Below are 22,403 nucleotides of genomic sequence, written 5' to 3' on the forward strand. Positions count from 1 at the left end.
TCTCCCTCTCTCCCTCCCTCTCTGTCTCCGCCTCTCCCTGTCTCCCTCCCTCCCTCCCTCCCTCTCTCTCCCTCCCTCCCTCTCTCTCCCTCCCTCCATCCCTCTCTCCCTCTCTCTTTCTCTCTCTCTCTCTCTCTGTTCCCCTCATCAAGTAGGTGTTTCCTGCCTCTGCTTCTCTATAAAACCTCTGTTCTTGTTCATTTCCCACAGTTTTAGGTTTTTAATGTTCCCTCTCAAAACATGAGCTCCTGGCGTGGAACCTGTTTTTTGCCTTCTCTTTTCATCTCTTCTGTCTTCTCTTCCCTTCCCTTCCCTTCTGTCCCCTCCCCTTCCCTTCCCTCCCCTCCCCTCCCCTCTCTTTTCGAGATGGATTCTCACTCTGTCACCCAGGCTGAAGTATGGTGGCGCAATCTCGGCTCACAGCAGCCTCCACCTCCTGGGTTCACGTGATTCCCCTGCCACAGCCTCCCAAGTAGCTGGGATTACAGGTGTGCACCACCAAGCCTGGCTAATTTTTGTATTTTTAGTAGAGATGGGGTTTCATCATATTGGCCAGGCTGGTCTCGAACTCCTGACCTCAAGCCATCTGCCCGTGTCTACCTCCCAAAGTGCTGGGATTACAGGCATGAGCCACTGTGCCTGGCCCTTTTTTTTGTTTGTTTCATTGTTCCTCAGGCAGCATTTTATTTCCAGGAGGAAACCGGCCCTGAAGCCCTTCCCTTTAGTATTTGTCTTGATGTACTTTTCTGCTTATTCTGTGTGGACCTTGGGTCACTTCCATAGAGGCCCTGGGGGATGTCCCCCACAAGGCTCTATCCCCTTGCCTGCCTCAGCTTGCAGCCTGCACAGTCAGTCATACTGTCCCGACAAACCAGGGCCATGAACCAGGTGCTTCTCCTCAGTGCCGGGGTGCATTCTAGCCTTGTTCTGTTAATTCCTCAAAAAACTGGAAATAGCCCCACCTGCCCTAGGCACACAGCTTAACTTTTGTGTCTTTTCAGAGATGACCTTCTATTTTACATCACTGAGATGAAGGGTGTAAATTCCTCAGTTCCTCTGCACTCTGCCTCCAAATGTCTGTTTCTTTCACCATCATTTCCCCTGCCCTTCTTTTTCACCTCAGATGAACTTCCAGGCCCCTGGCTCTTCTGGGACCTTGTTCCTTCAGTCACATTTTTTCCTTAAGTTTTCCGATTTTTTTCTTCTCTTTGTATACTCTACCTTAGCCTGTTCCAGTCTCATCCCCAAAGTACCTTTCTCTCAGCTTTGCTACCCATCAGGCTATTACATTTTTCCTTCATTTCCAGTATTTGTCAAATTAATCCAAAATATATAAAACTAATATTAACTGCCTCTATTATTTTTATCACTTATGTATTCTTTTTGCACCTAAAAATCTGCTTCTCACTATACTGATTGTTTTCCTTCCTTTTCAAGATTAGCAGCCACTCAATGCACTGGCCTTTCCACAGTCCTCAACTTCTTGATCTCTTAGAGAAAATTTTTTGAGCATCCTGCTTCTAGAAGCTCTCCCTTCCTGTAGCTTCTGTGGTAGTGTTTTGTTTTGACTTCCTGCTGTCTTCTTCCTTTATTCTAAGTACTTCCACTTCCATCTTCTACCCTCCTCACTGTAGGTGCAAACCACAGTTCACTTTTTATCTTGGTTCTTGGGAAGACGAGCCAGGAAGAGAGACAGAGATACCAGTCCTGGAAGTCAGAGAAGAGCCAGGCAGCGTATCAGTCAGGGACGTGTGAGTTCACAGATGCATCACTGCTGGCTTAGATTTGGAAATTCTGTCATTTCCGTCTTGCTTGCCTTTCAGGTTTGCCTCCTAAAGGAAAGAAAGCGTGGTGCTGGGCATCCTACCTGGAAGAGGAGAAAGCGGTGGCAGTGCCGGCGAAGCTGTTCAAGGAGGTACGGGCCCTTCTAGAGACGTGATCTGTAAGGGCGCAGGAGCTGGGATACCAGCCTGAATTACGATTGTTGTTTCCACTGAAATTTGACTTGGGATCATTTTCTCAGCATACAGTTTTCATGCGTGTGTTTATATGGAGGGCAGTGAACACTGACTTGTGCGTACCTCCCATGTGCCACACATGTGCCATGTGTGGGTGCACACTGACACACGTGTGCTCTTCTCTCTCAGCATCTTATGGGCTTGCTATCATGAATTTTAACAGAGATACCAATACTACCACGAAACACTAGCAGATGAAGAAAAAATGTTAGGAAATTTCATGTCAACATTGTGGCTTTGAGAGATTAAAAATGAGTTACTGGCCGGGCGCGGTGGCTCACGCCTGTAATCCCAGCACTTTGGGAGGCCGAGGCGGGTGGATCACGAGGTCAGGAGATCGAGACCATCCTGGCTAACAAGGTGAAACCCCGTCTCTACTAAAAATACAAAAAATTAGCCGGGCGCGGTGGCGGGTGCCTGTAGTCCCAGCTACTCGGGAGGCTGAGGCAGGAGAATGGCGTGAACCCAGGAAGTGGAGCTTGCAGTGAGCCGAGATTGCGCCATTGCAGTCCGCAGTCCGGCCTGGGCAACAGAGCAAGACTCCGTCTCAAAAAAAAAAAAAAAAAAAAAAAAAAATGAGTTACTACGATTTACATATTATCACAGCAAAACATCTAAAAATGGGTCACTATATTATATTAGCTATAATAAAAGTGTTTTATCATAAGTGATTTAAAATCAGTTAACAATATAGATATCAGATGTAGTTCTGAGTAGCAGTTGATGTCCCTGGACTAAACCAAGAGTTGGGGTCCGGGTGTGGTGGCACATGCCTGCCTGCAGTCTCATCACTTTGGGAAGTTGAGGCAGTAGGATCACTTGAGGCCAGGAGTTCGAGATCAGTCTGAGCAACATAGTGAGACTCGGCCTCTAAAAAAAAAAAAAAAATTAAAAATATAGCGGAGTGTGGTGTTCAAAGTTGCAGTGAGCTGCAATCCTGCCACTGCACTCCAGCCGGGACAACAGAGCAAGACCCTGTCTCTAAACAGACAAACAAAACACATACAAAAACAAGGGTTGGTAAACTTTTTTGGTAAAGGGCCAGATAGTAAATATGTTAGGCATTTCAGAGCACGTGGTCTCTGTTGCAACGACTCAGTTAGGTCATTGTAGCACAAAAGCAGCCATAGAGAATAGGTAGACAAGTGGGCATCGCTATGTTCCAGTAAGATTGTTTACAAAAACTCATGGTGCACTGGCTTTGACCCGCAGACTGGAGTTTGCTGAACCTTGGTTTAAATTATTTCATTATATTTAATCGTGGTATGTAATTAATTTGTCATAGATATATTTTTATGTAGGTGTGAACATAGCAAGCTTTTAAAAAGTGATGAATAGTAAATGTTAGTAAATGTTAGGACGATTACATCTGCATTAAGAATATTTAATTTAAATATAGTAGTAATTACATATAAACTTGTTCTCTGTAATTATTTTCTGTAGCTTTGGTCCTTTAGAGAAGAGACTTTTTCACATTAAAAAAAAAGTTTAAATGTAGCTAATTCCTTGAATCAGTAATGAATGCATGTGATTCAAAATATAAAAGTACTACAATAGTATAAAGAATGTCTCTTATAGCCCTGCCCCCCCAGGCACCAGATTTGCCTCTCCTGAAGTAACCAGTGTTACCAGTGCTTATATTCCCTTCCTGGAAAATTATATGTTCATATAAGCAATATATATATACACAGATCCTTCCCTTATGGTAACATATGTTGTGTACTTTTTGGACTTTGCTTTTTTTGTTTAACTTGACAGTTTGAAGATGCTTCTATCTGAGTCATGAATCTCTTCACCATTCTTTTATAGCAATACATAGTATTCCATCTTAGGCCTGTTCTGTAATAATTTACGTTCTTCCCTATTGATTTGCACATACATGCATGTATACTTTCAAATCTTTTGCTATATGCTTTACTGAATAATCTTCTATACCAGTCATTTTTCACATGTGTGAGAATCTCTTGGACAATTTCCTAGAGTTAGAATTGTTGTATCAAAAAGAATTTTTTGATTGATTTTATGAAATTGCTAGAGGTTGTACCAATTTTCATTCTTCCTAGTGATGTATGCGTGTGTCTGTTTTCCTACAGCTTTACCAGCACAGTGTTGTCAAACTTTTTGATCTTTAACAGCCTGATAGGTGAAACATATCTTAGTGTAATTTTACTTTGTATGTCTCTTCTGCATGAGGTCGAGCATCTTTTCAAATATGTAAAAGACAAAGGGTGTATGGCATTACATTTCCTTTCCTGGGACCTATTTGTAGCCTTGGTCCATTTTTTCAGTGGGTTATTTATTGATTTCTTTTTCTTTGGATTTTTAGAAGTTATGTATTTGGTTAAATAGTCTTTATTTTTAAAATGGTAACTATTTACATCTTTAAATAGGGCTTTGGGATAAGGGACTAAAACTGCTCTCATTTTGCATTTTAGCATCAATCCTTTCCATATAACAAAAATGGATTCAAAGTTGGCATGAAATTAGAAGGCGTGGATCCTGAGCATCAGTCTGTGTACTGTGTCCTCACCGTCGCGGAGGTAAGCTTTGCCTCGTCCTTTATTTTTAAAATAAAATGGTGATTATGGGGATTTAAAATGAGGAAAAACTGCCATTGGTTGTATTTCATGCCAGGCATGGTGCTTACTGTTTTGTGTGCATTATTTCATTTAATCTTTGTAAGAATCCTGTGCATGTTGTGGTTTTTCTCAAGCTCTGTTGTGTAGGTTAGGGAACTGAGGCTCAGAGTGATGAAGTGATGGATACAAGACCACACAGCTTCAAAGTGGTAGAACCCGGATTTGAACCAGTGTCTGTCTGATGCCATAGCCCTTGCCATAAGGAATAGACCAACAGATACTTGTGTGTGTTGTTTTTTTTTTAGTATTTCAAGGTATCTCTGTGAAATTTTTCAGGAAAAAAATGACCAAGCCAAATATATGAATATATATCTCAGTCTAATATATTACTGAGAGTACTTTAAAAACTGTGACCACACAGCTTCAAAGTGGTCGAACCAGGATTTGAACCCATGTCTGTCTGATTCTATAGGCTTTGCCATACTGTGTTCCTTAACATAAGGAACAGACCAACAGATACTTATTTTTTTTTTTTTAGTATTTTAAGGTATCTGTATAAAATTTTTCAGGAAAAAATGACCAAGTCAATTATACATACATATATTACTGAGAGTACTTTAAAAAATGTGTTTCCTCCTATGCTAGCCTTCTCCTTGCTCCCTCCCTTGAGCCAGAGGTATATCTATTTTAAAAATTCCTCCCAAAAGAATAAAATAGTCTTGTGTACTAGTTTGAGGTATTATACTATTCTTTAATTACCTTGTGAACTTGTAAGAAAGTTGGCTTCTGCAGAACACAGTACCATGTGCTGGATAATGACAGCCTCAGTCAATGATAACATACGGTTACATAGGGCATACTATGTGCCAGCGGCTAATCCAAGTACTTTTCATCTGTTAGCTCTTTTTTTTTTTTTTTTTTTTGAGATGGAGTCTCACTCTGTCACCCAGGCTGGAGTGCAGTGGTGTAATCTTGGCTCACTACAACCTCCACCTCCCAGGTTCAAGTGATTCTCCTGCCTCAGCCTCCTGAATAGCTAGGACTACAGGCGCGTGCCACCTTGCCTGGCTAGTTTTTATATTTTTAGTAGAGATGAGGTTTCGCCATGTTGGCCAGGCTGGTCTCGAACTCCTGACCTCAGGTGATCTGCCTCAGCCTCCCAAAGTGCTGGGATTACAAGCGTGAGCCACCACGCCCAGCCCATCTGTTAGCTTTTATTAGTTCTCAAAACAACCTTTTGAGGCAGAACCCTTTCCCTCCCATTTTTCAGATGAGAAACCTGAGGGCATTGAGTGTTAAAGGAACTTGTAGCTTGTAATAATGTAATAAGTAGTGAAAGGAAATAACTGGATTCTCTTACTCATATCAGAAAACTGTTGTGGAACATTTGTGTAGATTTTATTTACAGTGAGAATACTGACACTCTCAAACTTGATCAGACATTGTATGTTCTCTCCTTCCTGGACTCAAGTTTTTGTTAGACCCTTTTGAGTTGGAAGAGGAGGGTCAGAGTTTCTTGGTGGATGATTTGTGTTTGTCCTTTGAAGTGGATGATATTGCCCAGCAAGAGCGCAAGGCGTGAGTTGCTAGCCCTGAAGAATACCATCATCTAAGAGGTGGGTGCAGGAGAAAGAATAGAGCAGGATCCTGAAAAGGAACAGCGAGAGACAGAGAAAGGAACCAGGAGAGGGGCCTGCAGTAGGAACCAGGGAGAGCAGGCAGTTTAAGTGGGGAAGAAGCAGCAGTGTCAGATGCTGTGGTTGTTCTCAAGGAGCATGAGGGAATTGTGTCTTGCGCCATGGCAACTGGAGTGTTTGGGGACAGAATTGAGTTTTACAAAATCATTGTGAGGAAGCCGTAAGTATAGACTGCTTTTGAGAAGTTTAGCTATAGAAGAGAAAGGGAATTTTTATGATATGTGTCTGTTTTTCAGCTTTTGGTTTTTGCAGATTTATTTTACCTTCCCTATTTTTTATTATAAAAGTAATGTTTGCTCATTATGAAAACTTCAACTATTAATAGTGTAAGAGTGCATATTAATAAAAGTCCTGTTTCAGATCCCCCTTCCTTCCTCCCATATTCCATATCCCAGAGAGCATGACCCTTAACAGTTGACTGTGTGCCTTCCAGATGTTTTCTCTGTGTATAAAAATATGTACTGCATTTTGTTTTTGACACACAGACAAACACACGCGCGCACACACACACTTTTTTTTTTTTTCCGAGACAGGGTCCGTCTCTGTAACTGAGGCTGGAGTGCAGTGACGTGTACATGGCCTCACTGCAGCCCCAACCTTCTGGGCACAAGAGGTCCTCCCACCTCAGCCTCCCATGTAGCTGGGACCACAGGCGTGTACCACCTGATGCCCAGCTAAATTTTTTTTTTTTTTTTTTTTTTAGAAATGGGGTCCTGCAATGTTGCTCAGGTTGGTCTTGAAGTCCTGGGCTCAAGCAGTCCTCCCATCTTGGCCTCCCAAAGTGCTTGTATAACAGGCATGAGCCACCACACCTGGCATACATATTCTTTAACCATTGGGTAGTTCTCCATTTTATAGAATTGACTTTAATTCATTTAACTGCTCTCATATTGAACAACTGAGTGATCTTCATTTTTTCATTATTCAAAAAAAAAAAAAGGTCCAGTGAGCATCCTCTTACCTCTGTAAGTAGGTCTAGGATCTATCTCTAGAATTGCAAGGTGAAAAGTATGGACATATAAATTACATCTAAATCTTTGATGCTTATTGCTCCTTTTCATATTAATTTTCTCTTTTTTCTCTCCCTCCCTCCCTCCTTCCCTTCTTGCCTTTCTTTTTTTTTTTTTCTGTTTTTTTTTCGCCCCTTTGCAATGCAATGGTAAGACAACATAGTATTTGAATTCTGAAGAAGCCACTAGGGAGTAGAGTATTGGAAGATTCAGAGAAGAGGCCTGGGAGAAGATGGGACCCAGAGTATATGTGGAGATCCAAGTCTTAGGCAGAAGGAGGAGTCTCTTGCATTACAACAGGAAGGCGGAGCAGGAAGAAGTAGGGCTCGTGGATACAGAGAGGCTTGTCTGTTTGGAGGCACACATTTGGGAAACCTTCTTTGGGTTAGAAGGCAAATTACTGGCTGAGAGTGAGGATGGAGAAAGTGGGATTAGAAGCTGAAGGAGGAGGAGGGGGATTTGAAAAGACCACAGTGAAGAATGGGAGAGGGAGTTGGACAGGACCATCTAGGAGAATTGCTAGGCAGTGGCAAAGCCCAGCATTCAGGTGGAGTTGATTTTTGTTGGTCCATTTTCATTATTCGCAGTAGTTACGCTCCACAAATTACCTTGTGTGGAACCATTGCTCTTAGGGGAAATAGAGGGTTAGCTTCCTGTGAGCCTCTGGTCACATTTTTGTCTACTGATCAGTGTGTAACCTTGTTTTATGTGTGTTTCTGTTTAAAGACACCTCATTTAATGTATATCGTTCATTCATTAAAAATTGAACTCACAAGTAAGAGCACTATCACTCCTGCCTGATGAAGCTTATCTAGCACAAGTATCTTCTCTGTAAGGCAACATCACAACCTTTTGGCACTTAGGGACACTAAACAACACCTCAGCACTATGTCAGGGGCCATTTTAAACAGTAACATCACCCAAGAAAAGCACAAAAATGTAGAATATGTGGCACTAAATGGACCACACAAAAGACACTTATTCCCAGTACGAGAACTGAAACAGGAAGGTAAAGCTCCTTCTTGATTGACTTCAGCTGGGAACATGCATGTTGAGTGACTCAAAAGTGTTGTCAGTCTGTGCATGTCCACGAACACTGCGAGTATTATTTTGGGGTTACAAATAAATTGTAGCAAGTAGATGACTTCACAAACGTGGAATACAGTATGTGAATAATGAAGACTGGCGGTATGTCATTTTTTCCTTCCCATCACCATTTACTAGACTTGGTTAGGTGGAGACAAGATGGATACCTGAAATGATAGAATGTCACCAGGCAAATATTTTGCAAAGGATATCAGGGCAGAAATTTTAAAATGTTGGCAAGAAAATGTTTTTTAAATGATTGCTAGGAAAGGAAGGCTTGGGGTGAGGAGAGCTGCTAGGGAGGAAGTAAAAGGATCAGTGTGAGACTAGAGTTTCTGTTGAGATTGAGGAAGAGGCATCTGGGGGTAACTGGGTTTGCAGACTGGAATAGGAGTATGTGTCCCAGGGTTGGATTTTTAAATTTAATACTAAGAAGCAGAGCAGTTCTTGTTGGGGACTAGATTCATGGGAGTGAGGGCTTGAAGTAGAGAGGAAGGGAGTCAAAATGCCAGGGTATTGGATAAGTCATCCATATGGATGACGAAAGTACTCAGATGGAAAGGAAGAGAATAAGCCAGGGCTAAGTGTTTGGGTGGTTAGCATGGGGGAAGAAGAGGAGGAGAGTTGCTTCAGCCATATGGCTCGAGCCTCGGCAGGGGAGAACTGGCCTAGGATCCATGGTGTGGTGGGAGGCAGCAACCCGTCCTGTGTCTATGGGAGGTAGAGTTGGGAACATGAGCACCCTTGGGGAAAGGCTTGAGAAGGACGAGCTAGGTATGACTGTGGGCAAGGAGGGTGAGGATGTAGGAGATTGTTTCTCAAAGCATAGCTTTCCGGTGAGCCTGAGATAGAGACTATGGGGAGAACAGAGAGAGCTTGGCTCAAGGGAGCAGAAGCTCAGAACGGTGTGCCCACAAGGAACTAGAGGCTGTAAATTACTATAGGGCTGAGCTCTTAGGATCGGCCAGATATAGCTGACTGTGAGAGAGAGGAGAGAAGCAGCCTTCTTTGCATGGGGTGGCTGTAGGGAGTGGGGGTAGCTCCTGCTTTACCTGAGAGATTGTATTTCCCAGGGATTCCAGTCTCAGCTGTATGGAGAGACTCTGTTCTCTCTGGGGGGAGTCAGCTTAGTTGTAAATTTGATGTATGTGGTATATCAATACATTCTAATTGAAAAAATGCTGATACATAAAAGAAAATATGAAAAGTCCATCATTCCCATTTTGCCCCTTCCTTTTCACTACCACTTCCTAGAAGAAATCATTATTAACATTTTGGCAAATATACCTCCGGACTTCTTTTTACTATGTGTTTACATATGTATGCATATGTGTGTATATTAATGTATGTATATAAATGCATATACTTATGTATATACACATAATACACATATGTATACATAATCATATACCCATAAATACATGTGGACCCCCACATGTCTAATTTTCTCATAAACTTAACTCATTCTGTGTTATGTGTTCTACCACTTGAATTTTAACTATATGTTTTAGAGAACTTTCCATGACAGTAACTGTACAGCTACCTCACTATTTGAGGATTAATTGCCCTGGCTCTGCACTCTGGTCTAAGTTCATCATTCAGGGTTCTGCAGGACAGACACTCCTGGAGCGGGTAGAGGTCTGGCGTGATACGTGTTTCTACTTGAACACATCTTCTTGTGTTAGTGGGAAGAAGTCTCAGGGGCTGAACCCTCTCTCTAAGAATCCAGGGCAGGGTATGATCCAACTCAGGTCTCGTAAGCCTATATGACCTTCTAAATCAGAATGTCTCTAAGTGGGGCCCTGTAGGCATATGTATGGCATGTGTTATACAGAGTACATTCTTACTAGCATTCTTAGGAGCCTGTCTCATCCAAGTAATAAACTAGGAGAGACGCTTTTCTTTCTTTCTTCCAACCCAGCTTTGGTGGAGAAAAAAAGCTTGACTTCTGTGCATATGCACCAGCTGTGGTCTGCAGCCTTCAGTGCAGGGCAGACTGTCCACTCTGGGGCCATGCTAGAGCTGAGTGTGCTGTGCTGGTGTGCCTTCCAGCTTACCCTGGGGACACATCTTGGTACAACATAGGGAGTGGAGAAAGGACCTGCAATTGTGGGATATTATGCTTTGCCCCCTATCCGTGTGGTTGTAATGTAACTGAGAATGTTGCCAGAATGCCACAGCTCAGCTCTTCCCACTTTAATAGCTTTTGTCTTTAGATTCTGGTTATTTGTTTAGTTGTTTTATTACTGTTAATGTGGGTGGTTTGATTAACATTAAGACTATATCATGCCTGGTGTCCATGTTTATTTTTGTGTATATATATATATATATGAATATTCTGAGTTAAAAAAAATAATTCAACCTATTTTACCTGTTTCAGGTTTGTGGATACCGGATAAAGCTTCACTTTGATGGGTATTCTGATTGCTATGACTTCTGGGTGAATGCAGACGCTCTGGATATCCACCCAGTTGGGTGGTGTGAGAAAACCGGCCACAAACTCCATCCTCCAAAAGGTTTTGTCACTTTTTGTTTGATATTTTAAATTCAGTAAAAACTCATTTTCTTACATGCTACATTAGAATTGTTAAGAATTCAGACTTTATGAAAATTCAGATAGGCACAAATTTAACCTTATTGTTTATGATGAAACCATGTTTATTAAAGTTAAAGAAATAAAAGCAGAATCCAGCCTAGGAAAATAAAGTATGTTCATATGCTTATTTTCATGTAAAATAACATTTGCATGATACTCAACTTTGACTACAAATAATGTTTACCTGCAAATTTCTATTATTAAATACATACATCTTTGAAAAAACTGATTTGAAAAATTAGTTTAAATTAGTTTATATAACTAAGTTTAGTGTTAACTGGTTTAAACTAATTTTTCAAATCAGTTTTTCATTATATAGAAAATCCTGAGAAATTATGCTTGACCGTATAGATCTTAATATTTAGGAGATTGGCAAGAAGACTGTAACACTAAAAATTGGCTTAGGTGGGGGGTTGAACTCATAGCAATTACTTTTCTTATATTTGAGTACTTTATATTATAGTCCCCCAGTGATTTTCCTATTTCATGTTTATATCAAAGTTCAAGAATAACAGATATCGTCTTTTTCACTGTCTGCCTAAAGTATTCCCTAATTTTTTTTTGAGACGGAGTCTTGCTGTGTCGCCCAGGTTGCAGTGCAGTGGTGTGATATTGGCTCACTGCAGCCACTGCCTAGCAGGTTCAAGTGATTCTCCTACCTCAGCCTCCCGAATAGCTGGGATTACAGGTGCCTGCCACCATGCCTGGCTGATTTTTGTGTTTTTATTAGAGACAGAGCTTCACCATGTTGGCCAGGCTGGTCTCAAACTTCTGGCCTCAAGTGATCTGCCCACCTTGGCCTCCCAAAGTGCTGGGATTACAGGTGTAAGCCACCGTGCCCGGCCATATTTAGTAATATCTTATTCCCTTCTATTTCAATCATTACATTGATTTTTGTTTATGTCAAAAATTCAGGTTACTGGGTTGATATTTTTGGCCTGTCTCAGGGCTTTAATGCATTAGCCATCCCTTTGTTTTAAGTGAAAAAATAATGGCAGAGTGGTATTTTCAGATAGCTGAAGGATTCAACAAAATAGCATAGAAAAAGTGAGGGTGAAAAAGAAAATCTGTAAGCCTTTTCACGAATTGATCTCTTATATATGGTAAATTATTAGCTGGTTTTTTCATGCTGCTTTCTGGACTTTAATGAATGTAAAATAAAGCATATTCGCAGATAAAATAAGATGCTCAATTTCCTTTTTAAAGGAAATGTTAACTTCAATGAAATTGTAAAAATTAAGGGGAGGACATTTCCCTTATTGTAATTTGCCAGCATCCTTACTTCATAAACCTTAAATTGTCCTTCTTGAAGTGATAGGCCAAAAAGATTTTACCTGTTTCATTTCTATTATTTCCACCTTTCCACTTGTTCCTATAAGTTAGTCTTCCCAAAATAGACTAGGTGAGAGAAAAATAAAGAATTTTGACTATTGTAGTTCAGTATCTATACCGCTGAGGAATTCTACCTAAATACTGGTACAAATACCCTGATAATAAGTGTCCTGGGTATAATACATATTTGTTTCCTTATTCCTTTTCTTTATATCCATTACCATTCATTCAGAATTGGAAAATAATAATACAGTTTGTTGAAAATAAACATAGTCTAAATATGCATAGTTATGAATTATGAGTTAAATTTTGTTTATTTAAAAAGTCATTTGATTGATTTTGGCATGTTAGAGATAAAAGTGGGACTGGAAAACTAAGTGTAAAATATTGTGGTATTTGAATCAATCTGTTCATATGTGCTTACTCTAGGGTATAAAGAAGAAGAATTCAATTGGCAGACCTATCTTAAGACATGTAAAGCTCAAGCTGCTCCTAAGTCATTATTTGAAAATCAGAATATAGTAAGTACATACGAAACACGTTTTCTTTCAAAGGAAGAAGTTTTTTGAGTGTCTCATAGGATCAATTACAAGTGATAACAAGGAACTATAATAAATTTTATCGCCTTGGTAAATAGAGTACTCTTATCTTAATTAAAGTTTAAAATTAGCTTAAAATCTTCATGAACAAATATGTTTTATAGCCATATTATGGTTGTCTCTTTTATTGCATAGTAGAAGACAAGATAGTACAAGATTCAGGTGAGATTTACAATTAAGATGCATAAAAAATTAAATTGGCTGAGATATTTTATTGTTATTATCACTTATATGGGAGTGCTGTTCAAATGGGATTCACATAGCCAGATGAAGGTAGCCCTGTTTCAGTTTACATGTAGGAGGTCACTGGAGACTGTGACATATCTTCACTCTAGCTTATAGCTTTGTTTACAGTAAACAAAAACAAAATCTGGATGTGCGTGTCTTTTCTACTTGACCGGTATTCCTGCTTTCCATAACATGTTCCTCCATTGGCCGACTTGATCCATGACATTTTTCTTTTCCCAAGTTCTGATCTAATTGGAAAGAATAAAGGGCAAGCCAGTGGAAAACCAAAATGCCATCTTTACAGATGGTCAGAGCTGAGTTGGAGGACGTGCATGGCTTGTATCTGCAGACAAATAAGCTTGATTCTGAGCCCTAGAATGGAAGAGATTTAATTCGCCTTTCACGCCCATCCCCCAAGCCTGGAGAACACTAGACCCTTGAGGAGCAGAGTGGAAACTGTGCACCCTGCAGCCCAGCTTTCTCTCTAGTATGATCAGTTCCTCCTTTCCAGAGTCACCAGGCTGGTAGCAGTGAGTGAGACAGTGGGGAGAAGCAGTAATGTTTCACTAACAGCATTCCCTTCAAATGGAAATAAATAAATATCAAGAGCAGGAGAAACCTCCTCACTCCAAAAATCCTTCATTTGGGAAACAGTGTTAACCAGTTGGTTTGAGAGCATCAATCTAATGGCTGAAATGTTTTCTGATTTAATCAAACACAAACCAGGTTGGATTACAGAACTGACACATTGTGTTTGTGTGCATGCGTATGTGTGTTTAGGTTAGTAATAGTGTTAATGGGCCAGCTTATTATTTTAAAACATCTTAATTGAGAGGATAGTGTAATTGCCAAAGTGTAACAGTGCATTGTCAGTTGGTATTCTCTGTCAAAACTTATCCCAGGGAGGAAGGTCAGTTGGGTGGAAAACTTAGCAGCCTGCTGTCTCTGCTCCAAGTTTCCTAATCCCTGTCTGGTTCTCTGATGATGACTTCAGTCAGGGATTTGATTAACTGCCTTGAACGGTCTTCCTAAATTCTATGCATTGCCAGCATACAACTTAATCTTGGGCTCTCCATTTCGTATCTAAGAGACAATTAATTTTTCCATTTCTAGATTACCTCAGAATACTCAAACATTTATGATCAGAACTCGGATAAATTTCAGTACTTAAATGCATAGTAAAGATTTCTGTATAGCATTAGTGCCTGTTCTATCCATTCAGACACAACTTATTCTAACATTTTCAGATACACGGCTGTCTACATTTTTGCAATGATAGTTGTATAATTATAGTAAAATGAGAGATAGCATTTATTTTGCCTAAAGTAGTTAGAATAATATCTGTATAATTGAGTCTAACAGAGGTTTTTGTTTGTTTTTTGTTTTTTGTTTTGTTTTGTTTTGTTTTTAGGGAAGGAATGACTTGTAGTGTGTTGTGATTTGCATAATTGGTATCTAGATATACTAGTCTATAATATGTAGAGATAGATAGATTAAGATATTATTCCTCACAAAAGATTGTAAGAGATTTTATATATTACTGTACCTTAAGCACTAACTCTTACAGAACTTTCATTGTTTTTGTTCCATGTTCTGAATGACTGGTTATCTGTGGATTTCTTTAAGTTACCAACTATTTTGAATAGCTTTGTACATCAACAGCCAATTCTTTTGCTGCTATTAGGAATAAAATATATCTGTAGTGTTGAGTAAAAGTTGTAATAATTTGCAGCCTTTCATATATGAAGATGACCTACTTTCGAGAGTACTCTTTTGAGAGATATTTTCGGAAGTGGGAGTGAATTTGTACTGACTCATGCACATTTTTAACTTGATTAAGTGCATATTTTGTGTGAATAATTTTCATTGTTAAGTCTGTAATCAAGAAAAGAAGGATAAAATGTGAACTATATGGTGAATAAAACTTGCCTACCTATTACAGTTTTCTAATTAAGGCATCAAAACACATGTTAAAATTAATTATTTTAAATTCTGTGAGGTGATGGATATTTTCGTTTTGAGGCCCAGATAGCTAATTGGGTGTAACAGTAGGACCTTTTTTTTTTTTTTTTTTTTTTTTTTGCGGCTTGTTGGAAAGCGACCCTGCTGTGAAACTGGCATATGATTTTTAAATTATGTGAATACAGCAGTGGATGCTGGGCCTTTGAGCAGGAGGTGCAGAGAGTGTGCAGTTCTTGTGGTTGTCAAGTGTGTGCTTATCTCTAATTAAATCTGTGTGTTTCCATAGACAGTGATCCCATCGGGCTTTCGAGTTGGTATGAAGCTTGAGGCAGTAGACAAAAAGAATCCCTCATTCATCTGTGTTGCTACGGTAACAGATATGGTGGACAATCGTTTCCTGGTACATTTTGACAACTGGGATGAGAGCTATGACTATTGGTGAGACATTTTCTGTTGTGTGCTTTTAAAAATTTAATATTTATCCAAGTAAATGGTTTGAAAACAGTAATAGTGCAACGCTTATAACAAAAAAAAGCAGTGTTCTGCCCCACTTTTTCCTGTTACAGATTTTTAATTTTTTACCTGTTCCATATGGGATATATTTTAAATAACATCCTTTAATTTTGCTTTGTGATTGGTATTTTAGTTGACTTCCTACTATGGAAGTGCAGTCTGCACACTCCACATTCCCAACATATGTTCACACGTATTTTAATCTTCCCTTCTTATTTTCATGCCCACCAGCTAATTTAAACATTCGTAATAGCTGACTACAAAATATATTGAAGAATATTATTTTTAATCCTTGCAGTTTTTAGATATCCTGCACAAAGTTGTAAAAGCAACATATTTTACAATTATATAATTATAAAATAATTATAATAAAGCCATTATATTTTGATTAAACAGTTGAAATAAGGATTTTTCATACCAAATTCATGTTCATTGATTGCTGTAATTCAGTTTCCTAGTAAAAGGCATTTCTAAAGTGTTTAGTTCCTTCTAGAGTACACTTGAATTGAGAATATTTTAGAGAAGTAACAGATATCTTTATAAAATACAACTTGTGTTATAGGATAAGTGAATATTAACTTATATAAATATTGCTAAATATCAAGGAGGTTTGTTTTTTGACCTAATTTTTTAGTATCCATATATTTAAACATTCAGTAGACACATTGATAATTTCCATTACTTCTCAGATGGGATTCTTAGATACTCATTAGTTTTACTTGCATTGTTTAAAAAAGAAGAGATGTTGAAATTCATTTGCTATTCATATTTTTAAAATGCTTTCTATTATATGTTACCTACGCTTTTTGCAGAATTTTTAAAAAATGTAGACAGTTAGTTCCATGATTAGATTACACAGACCCAAGTACGGTTGGCCTTCTGTATCTGTGGGTTGCACATCCATGGATTCAACCAACTGCAGATCAAAAATATGAAAAAAAGAAAAATAGCAATACAATAATAAAAATAATACAAATACAAATATACAGTATAACAATTATTTACGTAGTATAACTACGTAAATAATTGTATAAATGCTGTGTAAATACATAGCATTTACATTGTATTAGGTATTATCAGTAATCTAGAAATGATTTAAAGTATAAGGGAGATAAAGTAAACAGAAAGATGTGTGTAGGTTATATGCAATTACTATGCCATTTTGTAAAAGGGACTTGAGCATCCTTAGATATTGGTGTCCACAGGGGCTTCTGGCACCATCTCCTGCTGATACCAAGGCATGACTCTGCTTTAGAATATTTTGTTTGTTTTTCCCAGCTTTTTTCTGCAGAGCATAATTTTTCCTTGTAGGACATCTTTATATTCAGTTTATAATAAAAGTTTTTCATTGAAATACAGTCAATTTCTAACATATACAAAAGTAGAATAATAGAGCAGCCCTGCTGCAACCTTTACTCAGCACCAACAATTATCAACTTATATCCAGTATGTTTCCTCTGTATTCCTACTCCTAAAATCCCAACTCTGGGATTGTTTCGAAATCAGTGACAGATATCAGAGCATTTCAGTATATATCTTCTAAAGAGAGGAATTATTTTTATTTTTAAAAATATAATAATAACTATGATATTACTAACATACTTAAATATTTCTCCCTATTGTTTTAGTGGGATTTTTGTTTATTTTTAGCTTGATGGTTTTAGGTCCAATAAGGTGTACACTTTGTGATTACCTTGCTTGACCTCGTTTAATTTACAGATACCTATTCCTCTCCTTTCTTCCTCGTTGATTGTAGCTTTTGTTAAAGACACCAGGTTGTTTGTACTGTTGAGTCTCACAGTTTGATTTGCTGATTGAAACCTCATCTTATTTACTGTGTTCTTCTGTTCCTCCTATTTACTGTGTTCTTCTGTTCCTCCTATTTACTGTAAATTGGTGGTTTTTGTTTTACTTAAAATTGTTGGGCCTGCATGGTGGCTTATGCCTGTAGTCCCAGTAATTTAGGAGGCCAAGGTGGGAGATCACTTGAACCCAGGAGTTTGAGACCAGCCTGGTCAACATAGCAAGACCCCTGACTCTACATAAAAATTTCAAAAACAGTAAAGATTTTCTATACATATTTTGAATGGGTGAGTGGATGAGAAAACTTTAACTTTGGAAACAGTCTAAATCTGTCCTGAATCAAACCTGTTTGTCTCCTTCTGTGCTTGGTGGGCTATGATGATGGCACTACTAGGGCGATAACTGGGCTCCAGGCCTTTTCTTAATAAATAACGCTAAAACAATGACTAGAATCTATTGAAATGAGAATATTTTGTTTTTAAAGTTAGGTTTATTTGGGGAGGATTTTTTTAAAGCTTTTGCCTGATTTGAACAAAATAGGTGAATGTCAGTTTATTTTTGTGGCCTCATAAGTATTACAGTGTTTTAAAGGTATAAGTTGCTGATTTGACATAAGATGCGTTGCCTTTGAAAACATTCATGTGGAAAAAAAGTAAGGGGAGAGTCTAGAAGAATTCGCCATGTTCATTTTTCGATGCCAAATGTCTAGGGAACAAACAGGAAGGATCCTGGGTTCTAAAAAAGATCCTGGATTCTAAAAAGATCCTGGGTTCTAAAAATACAAAGAAAAGAAAAAAATTGATCTCTTTTAACTCGAGTTTTGTGCTTTTATGAGCACAAACTAATTATTTTTAGGATGGAATGTACTTTGAGGATTACTTAGACTTCCAGCTACTGACATGAAATCATTTTTTGTTAATTCTCTGAAAACGAAAACAGTGTGTTTTCTTCCTCAACATGCAGTTAAGATGCAATGGAAATTGTTTAAGTGCTCTGGAATTTCTCCACTTTTACTAAATATTATGCTCTTTGATCTTTGAATTTTGGAATGGTTTTTATCTGCATAAATTACTTAGGTATGTAATTGAGGTTACAGATTGGGTTGCCTTTCCCAATTTAAAATAGTTTGGAAATGAGATATTTTTTGCTTTGATTTGAATAGTAATTCTTTATCTCTTTTTTACATTAGTGGGAATTTGAAAATATATATGTGTCTGTATACATTTGTGTTACTACATGTTTAGTTGCAATAAAACATTTCTAACTTCCAAAGAGGAACATGATAAAAATTTATGTAGGACTGAAAAAGTAGCTTTCTATGAAAGGAAAATAGCATATATTAGAATAAAAATGGCTTCACCTCTGGGTTTCTTCTGTGCTTTTGTTACTGATAGTTGGTAGCTGTTCGATTCTATCTCCTTGACAGTTGTTAGATTTAGGAATAATCCTAGATGTAATAGAATATTGCCACTAGAAAGAACTTTAGGGACCCAGGAAGGTAGGTCAGTACCACGGGGAGGGTACCTCCAGGTTACTGCTGTCCTCCCGCCACTGCAGCCTCCTTCCTGATTATCTGCCTGAAGGTTGGGCTCTGGGGCAGAACACAAAGAGAACAGTCACCTCTTTTCTTCCAGGCACTAGGAAGGAACCTTTCTTTTAAAAAATGTTATTTTCATGTACCCTTGTCTTTTGGGATCCAGGAAGGATTGACAACAGGATTTGGTCCATTGTTTAGTAGAAGGCCTAAATGAATGAGGTTGCAGCTTCAGCCATTTTTTATTCCATTGTACTTTGGTGTCCCAGTGGAGTCAGGGCAAAAATTCGTAACAAAAAGATCTGTGAAAAAGAAAAGGGTTATTAGTGAATTAGAACAAATGTAGCAGTGGGCCTTTTCCTGATTGCCTGTAAGTGTAGTGTAAACTTTTTTTTTAGAGATGAATCTCTTTTACATTTACAGATTAACAGCAGTAGTAATTTTATGTGTCTCCCTAAAATCATGTTGAAAAGTTGTCAGTTTCTTAGAGCAGTGTCAGTTAATAGGCTTGTCACTATTTGGTTAAATTTGGGAAGCACTGGTTGGTGGTGGTGATGGGAAGGCCGTGGAGATGAATGGAACCTGGGCTGTTCTGAACTTCAACTCTGGGGGGCTCATGGTCTGGGGAAGGAGAGAAACTAAACACCACTGTCTTGAGTGCAGGGCTAGATGGTGGTTATTGCTTAATTTTTAGAACCAACCACTTGGAGGGGTGATGGCACTTGGAGGGAAGGACTGACTCAAGCTCACTGGAGGGCTCTTGGGGAGGGCTTCTTAGAGGACATGGGGATTTGAGCTGGACCAAGAAGGAATGGGTACTTAGAGGTTGGGATGGAATATTCTTGGCTAAGGAAAGCACTTCCTTGTGTTTTGGCCCAGGGGTAGGATGTGTTTGGGTAATGGCAGCCAGTTTATTCAGTGCATTACTTAACACTTCTAAACTTTAGTTGTCTTCTGAAAGGGATTGATAATAATACCTGTCCCATCAGGTGTCGTGGGGATTAAAATAAGAGTTTTAGGAACAGAAACTGATTTGCAAAAGGTTGAAGAGTGATAAGGGATATTAAGCAGAGAAGTTTAGTGCTGAAGGCAAATGGATTATTGCTTAAGAGGAAGTTGACTTCTAAGGAGGGTTCCCTGCACCATGAGCATTTTTGAGCTTGGTTTTTAGGCAGAAGGCAGGAAGCCACTGTGGAGGGAGAGAGTGGAGATTTCTGAAACTATGGGTAATACAGGTGGCACCAAGTCTCCTAGGAGCAGCTAGCCTCAAGAAGAAATAAACTTTCTTTTCACTCAGCCTGGAGAAAATGAAGAAGTAAAAGGAAAATTTGATACGAGGGTGATGAGATGCTATCACCTTTATCTCTTCCAAGTATTCGTTGTGTTAATGAAAGATTTTAAGCTTGAAGCAAATTAATATTTCAAACAGCTACTGTGGGTAATAGAATTGGACATGAATTAGGGATGGAAAGGATCACTTGATGACTCGGGCTGATGAGGTTTGGGGTTTAGTAGTAAAGTGCAGAGTAATGGAGGCCCTGAAGAGTTCACATATAAGGGGAGCCAGGAGAGTTGGGTACTGAGTAATAAATTGGTAGAGTCATCATGGTCTGTGTTATAGGCAGTGAAGAAGCCAAGTGTCCTGTATTTCTTCAAATAATCTAAACCACTCTTGCTTAATGGAGAGACTTTGATGTTTTCCATAAGTAAGCATCTTGCAATGTTCTCCTTTGACTCTGGCTGAAACTGCAGAGCCCAGCATGTGTGCATTAGTTTTTGTTTAGCTTTTGGCTGTGACTGACAAAACCAGAATCCCTTTCTTTTCTACCCGAGTGCTTGGTGAAATCACTTAACCTCTTTGATTTCCATAAAATGAGGATCTTCATGTCTCCTAACTTTATCCTTATAAGCATGGATTTTTTTTAAAATAGGTTATTTCTTTGGTTTCTGGCCCTTTTAGAATTTACCGTCTGAGTCTCATTGGGTCTTAGCAGTCATTATGAATAATTTGCACTTACACATGAAATGTATTTCAAAAATTTGAAATGGAGGCTTCTTTCATGATATACATAAAAACCCAGAAGAAAGGAAGAGTACAGCAATCAGTGTTTTGTCATACTTTTTACCTTTAGTTGTTCTTCATATTTCTTTTCAGTTACGTTTCTACTTTTGAACACTAGATGGGACTAAGAGATGACTTGTTTTACAATAGTAGCAGAAGGCTATCACAGCCTTCCAACTTTTGAGTGAAGTGTTGTTTGCTTATTAAGAAAATATAAGTAAAATAGATAAAAACAGTAATATTTTTATCTTCTCTATTGAGGCAGCTTCTTTGTTTTAAGTGGCGACTTTGATCAATATCTAGATATTATTTAAACTTTATATTAGATTCAGATGGTACAAGAATGAATGACCATTAAGAGACCACAGTATTTTCCTTAATTGCAATTTGTATATCCAGCAAAATCAAAGAGTAATATTCAGTGTTTCTACTTTAAAATAAACACTGTGAGTCCGACAGATAATTATAAAAACTACTCTCTAAGTTCTATTAGATTGAGAAGGAAAAAATTAAATATTATATATATGTTATTTTTTCATTTTTTATGATGCTATCTATGAATTAACATCCTTCCCTAAAATAAAGGCAGTAAGACATTAGTAATCCATAACCAAAATGATTTTTTTTAGGAAAACACTAGGATATCTGGAAGTAGAGCTCCATAGCCTTGTTTGTATAATTTATAAAAGTGCATCTTAATGAATTATGTATTAAAATACCTTTTATGAAAATATGTATTGTAAAAAATATAGTGATTGCAGCATGAACTTGGCATTGACCTAGCAGTGCTTGGTTTTTTTTCATATTCCTAAAATAATGACCAGAAAAATAGTTTGTGGTAGAAACAGTATGAGATAACAACTGAATAAAGGAAGAAGCCTTTAAGTAATAAGGAAAAGATATTTTCTACTGAAGTAAGTTCTGAGAACCATCAGCATTCAGTAGTGGTTACATGAACTCACAATGTATTATTGTCCCAGGCTGCGCCTTTAGAAAGTTTGGCTTCGTTGACTGTGTGCTAATCTCACCCACTTACGATATTTTGTAGAAAATTATTTGTTTCACTATTCATAAGACTTCCTTATTCCCTGGAAACTCCAGCCACACTGTTACCTTCCTGGCTCTCTGCCTTCTAGTTTCCCATCAAGAGGGCTGTGTTGAGATTTCCTGATCTCAGTATGGACTCAACAGACCTCCTAGTTAGTATAGCAAAACTGACTGGACTCCTTGGCATCTTTTAGACCAACATTTTCCAGACTATGTTCTGCAGAACACTCGGGTTCCATATGATGTTAATAGGCTGAAACATGTTGCATTTTGAGAAGAGAAAAACATGGCAAAAGTATGACTAGGAGCAAGGAATTAGATGTACCAGGTATGCATG

At 38.4% G+C, this 22,403-nt stretch overlaps 1 protein-coding gene across 22 annotated transcripts in view; it reads left to right on the forward strand.

Annotated features, from left to right (window-relative positions):
- The window catches only part of L3MBTL3 (L3MBTL histone methyl-lysine binding protein 3), a 122,858-nt gene that overhangs the window by 37,002 nt on the left and 63,453 nt on the right, over positions 1 to 22,403 (forward strand). For all 22 annotated transcript variants that reach the window (XM_047419407.1, XM_011536184.3, XM_047419410.1 and 19 more), the window contains 5 exons: positions 1,824 to 1,915; positions 4,454 to 4,558; positions 10,771 to 10,906; positions 12,748 to 12,839; positions 15,394 to 15,545. In XM_047419407.1, coding sequence (XP_047275363.1) covers positions 1,824 to 1,915; positions 4,454 to 4,558; positions 10,771 to 10,906; positions 12,748 to 12,839; positions 15,394 to 15,545 — 577 coding nt within the window. The remainder of the gene's footprint in view (positions 1 to 1,823; positions 1,916 to 4,453; positions 4,559 to 10,770; positions 10,907 to 12,747; positions 12,840 to 15,393; positions 15,546 to 22,403) is intronic.

This window comes from Homo sapiens, chromosome 6, assembly GCF_000001405.40.
Source record: "Homo sapiens chromosome 6, GRCh38.p14 Primary Assembly".
NCBI classification, from domain to species: domain Eukaryota; kingdom Metazoa; phylum Chordata; class Mammalia; order Primates; family Hominidae; genus Homo; species Homo sapiens.